Source organism: Homo sapiens, chromosome 17 (assembly GCF_000001405.40).
Source record: "Homo sapiens chromosome 17, GRCh38.p14 Primary Assembly".
NCBI lineage: Eukaryota > Metazoa > Chordata > Mammalia > Primates > Hominidae > Homo > Homo sapiens.
The window spans coordinates 89,636-97,694 of record NC_000017.11 but is presented as its reverse complement, the minus strand read 5'-3'; the positions used below and the strand labels follow the sequence as shown (position 1 = coordinate 97,694).

At 43.2% G+C, this 8,059-nt stretch overlaps 1 non-coding gene across 1 annotated transcript; it reads left to right on the top strand.

Moving 5' to 3' along the window:
- LOC124904108 (U6 spliceosomal RNA) lies at window positions 6,796–6,899 on the top strand. Its single transcript, XR_007065983.1, has one exon. It is a non-coding gene; the product is annotated as a U6 spliceosomal RNA (small nuclear RNA).
- Window positions 6,900–8,059: the final 1,160 nt, after the last annotated feature.

Below are 8,059 nucleotides of genomic sequence, written 5' to 3'. Positions count from 1 at the left end.
TTTTTTTTTTTTTTTGAGATGGAGTTTTCACTCTTATCGCCCAGGCTGGGGTGCAATGGCGCAACCTTGCTGGTCACTGCAACCTCTGCCTCCTGGGTTCAAGAAATTCTCCTGCCTTAGCCTCCCAAGTCACTGGGATTACAGGTGCCCACCACCACACCAGGCTAATTTTTGTATTTTTAGTGGAGATGCGGTTTCACCATGTTGGCCGGGCCAGTCTCGAACTCCTGACGTCAAGTGATCTTCCCGCCTCGACTCCTGATATCAAGTGATCTTCCCGCCTCGGCCTCCCAGAATGCTGAGATTACAGACGTGAACCCATGCCTGGCCAGGAATTTTGTTTTTTAGGAAGGCTTTCTACTAATGGAATTCCTGGCCTTGAGAGGATGTTACTTTAGAAGGAAAGGATTTTTTTGTTATTAAAAGGTAAGATTCCTGGATTCTTATTGGACTGTTATCTCTGTTATGAGTAATCCATCTTTAGTCATTCACCACTAGGGTTGTATTTAATTAAGTCTGAGTTATTTTATGGTGGTTTTGTTTTGTTTTGTTTTGTTTTTACTGAATTTTGTTCTCATTGCCGTGGCTTGAGGGCAATGACGTGATCTCAGGTCACCACATTCTCTGCCTTCCAGGTTCAAGCAATTCTCCTGCCTCAGCCTCCTTAGTAGCTGGATTTACAGGCATGCGCCACCATGCCTGGCTAATTTTTTGTATTTTTAGTAGAGATGGTGTTTCACCATGTTGACCAGGCTGGTCTAGAACTCCTGACCTTGGGTGATCCACCCGCCTCGGCCTCCCAAAGTGCTGGGATTACAGGCATGAGCCACTGCGCCCAGCCTGGGCCTGCTTCTTTCTCTTTTTCTTTTTTTTTCATTAGCAGCTTAAAATTGGTGCCTTATTCAGACACAAGCAGAAGGACATTAGCCCAGCTTTGGAAATAGGTGAGAGCCCATATATGATTTTCCTAGTTTCTCCTCCCCCTTTGCTTTTTGCTCTCTTGTTAGTATATTAATTGTTTTCACTCTCTGAATCTTTTTTCCCCATTTCTTTGGCAGTCATTTTTACTTGTCTTGGAAGAGTAGGTGAAGAGCTGTTTTTAGGACTCTTTGAAAGGGTACAGTATGGGTGACAGTCTTGGCTAATGGTAACATCCAGGGAGCTGGGGTCAGCGTGAGCTGGAATCAGTTCAAATTAGCAAAGCACTGGCACTCAGTGGCAGGAATACAAGTGACTGCAAAGTGTTAAACACATCTGGAAAGGGATAATGACATCATCCTCAGAATCTGTGGGGAGTTCACATAGCCAGTTAGGACCCATTCTTCTTTGACCCTATAAAGATTCTTTAAAGAATAAATACCCTTAGTGGTTTTCTAGCCAGCTTGCCTGCTCATTTATCTTTGAGGACGACATGCCTTGTGGAGCTCCACAGGCCCCAGAGGGGTATGGATTCTGCATTTAAAAGTGCTGAAGCTGAGAGACTGGGTCTTGGTGGACCCCGAGAGGTCTGTTTCTCCTCTACTCATTGTTCCTTTTTTTCCCAACAGCTGGCATTGCTGTTTAAATGGGTTGTTCTTTGCTGTTTTAAGTTGTTTCATAGTGGTGTGTCAGGATTTGGGTTTTCTTAATACTTTCCAAGCTGGTGACTTGAGTGGTGGTTAGGGAGGAAATGTTTTAGGGCTGTTCTGGAGCTATTGAGGTCAGGTGTCTAGATACTCCCAGCTTGTCTGTTGAGGAGAATGCTGTTCTCATTGTGCTGCCTTTGGTGGTGCTGTGTGTGGCTCTTTAGATGTGCATGGAGGTGAGCTGGGGGAGTTAATGAGATCTTTTTTAGGTGCTTTTGATAAAGTAGCCTGCACTACAGGATTCACTGTGACTTTTTTCCTTAACCTATGCATTTCTCTCTGCTAGCTTTTGCTGTCTTTCTCATGCCTTTGATTTTCCCAGCTCCTCTTAGTTGAATTAACCTAAGTGCTCTGCTGTGGTTTAAATGTGTCCCCCAAAGTTTATGTGCTGGAAACTCAATCCTCAATGCAACAGTTGGGATGTGGGGCCTAATAAAATAGGCTTCATGAATGAGTTAATGTTGTTATTGTGGTAATAGATTAGTAATCACAGAGTGGGCTTATTATAAAACAGAGTTCAGCCCCTTTTGCCCTCTTGCTTTCTTGCACTCTCTTTTCCTTCTGCCTTCTGTAGTGGGATGATGCAGCAAGAAGACCCTTACCAGATGCAGGCCCCTCAACCTTGGACTTCCTAACATCCAGAACTGTTAAGAAATAAAATTTATTCCTTTCCTTTCCTTTTCTTCCTCCTTTCCCTTCTCTTCCCTTTTCTTCCCTTCCCCTCCCTCCCTCTCTCTCTCCCTCCCTCCCTCCTTCCCTCCCTTCCTCCTTCCCTCTTTCTCTCTTTCCCTTCCTTCCTTTCCTTCTTTCCCTTCCTTCCTTTCCTTCCCTCCTTCCCTTTTTCCCTCCTTCCCTCCTCCCTTCCTTTTTTCTTTCCTTCCTTTTTTCCTTTTTATAAATTATGCAGTCTGTGGTATTCTTTTATAGAAGCATGAAATGGACAAAGACTCCATTTTCAAGAGCAAGCACTTTTGTAGTTTCTGAGCGAACTATGACTGCAAAGGAAGTTCTATAGGTAGCCTCAGATCCACTACCTAGGAAGCATGCTACCAAGCAGACCTAGGATCTAGGATTTGATCAAGTGCTGGGCAACATGATACCTCTGCAATTTAGCACTTCCCTATATACCTCCAGTTGGCTCAGCCCATTAGGGCTAAAACTACCCCTCATATCCTAGTGTCTCTTGTAGGCAGAAGCCTTGCCTAAACCCTAAGCTGCTTGGCTCACATTCTGTCTTGTGCTTTTTTTGTAGGGGGTTCAAATATACACAAAAGAAATATGTTGAACCTCCATGCACCCAACCCGCAGATTAAGCAGTTACCTCCATTTTTCCAGATTTGTTTCATCTGCTTCAATCTCCCTAAAAATTTATGTTTGTACAGGAAAGACTGAATAAATAGCTAATTCTCCACCCTACCTCTCATCTTAAGTCACTTTTCAGAGTAGTAAGTTAGTGACCTAGTAACCTTCCCTCTAATGACCAGTAGTTTTTTTTTCTGAATACCATTATGAACTCATAGATTATTGTTTGCATTTGATGTATTTCAGGCCATTGCAGTCTTTACTGTTTTGGATGCTTACATTGTCTCATCTAGGTTAATAATTATCTCTTCAAGTTGACTTTCATGTCTTTTTGACGTGATCCTGTTGGACTTTGATGGCTTCCTTGCTTTCTGGCAAAACAGATGTTCCAGGATCAATATACTGCACCATGCATGGAGTCAGCCGTTTCTCTAGGGAACCTTGATTCCTTTTAGTAGAGAACACAGTTTGAGGTCTTGGACTGAATGACTTTTGTGAACCTCCTCTCCTGAGACTACAGCCTGCATCCCTGCATATAGCCCGTTTGGAGCTCTTGCTGGGCACCAACAGATCTCCTAAAACTGCTATATAGTTCTGCCTCACTCTTACAAAGATTCATCTCTTGAGAGTTTTGTGCTCTACCCCCAGATGTGGTCTTTCTGGTTCTGAAGCTTTTGCTTCAGTCACCCTGAATTTTGCCAGCCCTATGCATGCTATACCTTGGATTGCCAACTTGCCCTCACTGAAGCCAGTTTCTCTGGTTAGAATAGTTGCCCAAACCCATGCCTAATACTCTAGTAAACAAGGTTCTACCTGGGCTTAGGTTAACTTTTGCTCCTTTGGGCCCTGTGTTCTACCAGCATTCCATTTATCTGAAACTCTCCCTCACCTTAAGAACTTATCTGTTCTTTAATGATTTACTGCTGCTTCCTGGGCTCGAAAGAACCCAGTTCAGGAGTTTCTGTTTTAGTTTGAGATCTTATAGGCCTGTCTCATCAGGTTGGTGTCAGCCCAGCTAGGATTAGGCAGAATTGGGTGGGGGCTGTAGTGCATTTTTGGCACAGCATGTACCTGTCTGACTAATTCTCTGTCTTTTCTTTCCTGTTGCAATTCATGGGTCTTAGCATCTTCTGAATGGTGTTTAGTAGGTCATCCTGTTGATTTCCTGCTAGGGAGTAGCATACTCTGGCTCTGTACCATTGGCCAAGGGACTTAAGGATAGATGAAGGGCTGCAGTTTTGTTAAATGGAACAATATGAAGAGATGGCATTGTTAAAAAAAAAAAAAAGGCTTGGCAGCAGGGCCCATTTGAATGGTTGGTCCTTGGCTCCTTTGTTGATATAGGCAGATCCTTGATGGGAATTTGGAATGATCCCAAATATTGTAGATCACTGGTACATCAAGTCATCCTCAAGGTTGTCTGTGTAACAGTCTTGAATGATATTTTGTCAGTCTTTGGAGATTCTCTGTATAGGGTTTAATCATTTAGTTATTTCAGTTGAGCCTGTTTAGTTTCTTTGCAAGGAGATAAGAAATGTGAAAGAGATGCAGACATTAGGGAAAAAAAGTCAGGAGCCTTGTTTCCCCATCCTCTACTTGGGTTCTGGAACTAGACTCATAGGTGAGTAGTGAGGAGCTGGGCCCAAGCACATTAATCCTAGATCTAGCTCTGCTTTGCCCTCGCTCCAGTTCTTGTATCAAATTCACTTCAAGCCACCCAGAGTAGTATGTAGAGGAGTCATTCAGGACCATGCTCATACTTCGTTGTATCAAATGGGAGATCCAGTAATTTATAGCCTATTGTTTCTGGAGCCTGGAGATGGCTCTGCATAAGATTTGCCGAAGCAAATTTTATTACATTAGAAGAGAACCTAGCTGGCTGCATCCTACACTGGAAGCTTTTAGATGCTAATAAGGAGGTCATGTAAAGGTCACAGAATGACTCTGGAATCCATTCCCCGCCAAGAAAGAATAATGACATTCTATGTTGGCCTCTTTTCATTTCCCTTTGGTTTTGAGTAATAAATTCTCTCCTCACTTCCCAGTCGAACTGTTTGGGAGTCTCTATTCCCTAGAAAGACTCTGGTCACATACCCATCAGATTAAATTAGGTGAAAACTCTTTGGCCTTCATGAATGTTGAAGGATTTCAAAGGGCTAATGGAAATTCTTCTAGAAGTAACTGCAACCTCCGCCTTCCGGGTTCAAGCAATTTTCCTGCCTCAGCCTCCCAAGTAGCTGGGATTACAGGTGTCCACCACCATGCCCAACTAATTTTTGTATTTTTAGTAGAGACGGGGTTTCACCATGTTGGCCAGGCTGATCTAGAACTTTTGACCTCAGGTGATCCGCCCGCCTCAGCCTCCCAAAGTGCTGGGATTACAGGCGTGATCCACCGCGCCCAGTTAAACTTCAGTTTTTCATGTTCCATGCATTGGTCAGGGTCTTAGGGAGTGATTCATTCTAGCAGAACTCCCTGGATTTTAAGGCAGATGTTCCATTTATTAATTGACAAAGGAGGCATATTTCTCCCCTGGTAACCCAAAGATTTAGGTCATTTTCCCAGAGACTCCATTTCCACTGTGAGGGTTCTTGGAAAACTAAGCAGAGGATGAGGAAAAGTCTGTGAACAAGCTTGCTGGTCTCTCCCTGTCCTACAAAAGAGCATACCTCTTCTGTAACCAGAAGGCCCTTTTGATTAGTCAAGGCTGGACAGAGTGAGATTGGGTGTGTGTGTGTGTGTGTGTGTTTGTGTGTGTCTTGAGACAGGGTCTCACTCTGTCACCAAGGCTAGAGTGCAGTGGTGAGATCAGAGCTCACTGCAGCTTCCACTTCCTGGGCTCAAGCGATCCTCCTATTTCAGCCTCCAGAGTAGCTGGGACTATACGAATGTTTTACCACACCCAGTTCATTTTCTAATTTTTTGTAGAGATGAGGTTTCACTGTGTTGCTCAGGCTGGTCTTGAACTCCTGGCCTCACGGAATCCTCCTGCCTTAGTCTCCCAGTGGGCTGGGATTATAGGTATGAGCCACCTCACCTGACCTGCGACGATTTTTCAATGATGTAATTTCTCTTTTACAGAGCCACCTAAGCTGAAGATTCCCTTGAGAACAAGTACTGTCCCTAGTTTCCCAGTGCTGGAATATAGAAAATGGATGGACAAGTAAATCCCACTCAGCACCCATAGTCCAGGCATGGGGACCTCAACACACCTGAGCCCCAGACATCACCTTTCATTGCGAGTAGCTCTGAGATGACACTTCTGCTGTTCCCAATTCCAGCATTAATTGGATTAGATAGTTATTTTATGAAGAATTTTCATATGCCACAATCCTGACCATATCTTCAAGTGAACAGAAAAATTCTATTAAAAAGTCAACCTTCTGTCTCACTCTGTTGCCCAGACTGGAGTGCAGTGGTGCAATTATGGCTCACTGCAGCCTCAACCTCCTGGGCTCAAGCAATCCTCCTGCCTCAGCCTCACAAGTAGCTGGGACTACAGGTGCTTGTCACCACACCTCACTAATTTTCCCATTTGTGTTATATGTGGATTCCACAGGACTGACTTCGAAAACTTGAGTATGCGTGGATTTTGGTATACACAGAAATGGGAGAGCTGGAACTAATCCCCCCATATACCAAGGGACAAATTGTATCTGTTTCTACAATTATACAGTAGGAGACATTATGTTCCATGACAATGGTAATTTTTAACGACAGTTTTTAATTGAGTGAAATTACCATAAAAATAATAATAGTAGCAGCTAATATTTACTGAGCTGTTACTAGGTGCCTATAAATAGCATAGATTTTTAAATTCTCCATAATTCTTCCTTATTTCACTTAACCACCCTATCTTAAATTACTCATGCTTGCCTCAGTAGCACACATACTTAAGTTGGAACAATAGAGAGATTGGCACGGCCTCTGTGAAAGAATGACATGCAAATTTGTGAAGCATTCCATATTTTTTAAAAAAAAGAGAAAAAAATTACTCCCAGATTTTCACTGTGTTTGTGCATATGACCTTTTGTTTAGGTTGAATTATATCCAAAGGTGAAATTTCCAGAAGTGAGATTACTGTGAGTCACAGGGCATGAGCATTCTTATTACCCTCAATGTAAATTGCAAAGCTTTCAGGCATGGTGGCTGTCAGCCTGCAATTCCAGCACTTTGGGAGGCTGAGGTGGGAGGATTGCTTGAGGCCAGGAGTTGGAGGAGGCAGTATAATGAGTCACTGTCTGTAGGATTTAAAAAAAATTTCCAAGCTTTATGCTGGAAGGCTTATATACATTTTAAACACCACTAATACTACAAGAAAATGGCCATTTCACTGCACCTTCGCCCACACAGGTATTATAATTTAACAAGTTATTTTCTGTGTGATAAATGAAAGACCTCCTATTATTACTTTGTCACCCATTCTTTTTTCTTTTTTGAGACACAGTCTCGCTCTGTCGACCAGGCTGGAGTGCAGTGGTGTGATCTCGGCTCACTGCAACCTGTGCCTCCCAGGTTCAAGCGATTCTCCTGCCTCAGCCTCCTGAGTAGCTGGGATTACAGGAATATGCCACCATGCCTGATTAATTTTTGTATTTTTAGTAGAAACGTGGTTTCACCATGTTGATCAGGCTGGTCTCGAACTCCTGATCTCGTGATCTACCCGCCTTGGCCTCCCAAAGTGCTTGATTACAGCTGTGAGCCATGTGCCCAGCCTATTTGTCACATATTTTATCTTCCCTTATGTTAGCTTATTAGCTTTATTTCTTTATTGTCCTTTTTTTTTTTTTTTGAGATGAAGTCTCGCTCTGTCTCCTAGGCTTCAGTGTAGTGGCACAGTCTCAACTCACTGCAGCCTTGACCTCCTAGGCTCAGGTGATCCTTCCACCTCAGTAGTTGGGACTATAGGCACATGCCACTATGCCTGGCCAATTATTTTTATTTTTTTATTTTTACTAGAGAGGAGGTCTTGCTTTGTTTCTTAGGCTGGTCTGGAACTCCTAGCCTCAAGCAATCCCCCCACCACCCCCTCCCAAAGTACTGGTATTATAAGCATGAGCCACCATGCCTGGGGTATCTGTGTCTTTTCCATTTATTTATAGAGTTACTTTGTCTTTTACTAATTCAATGAT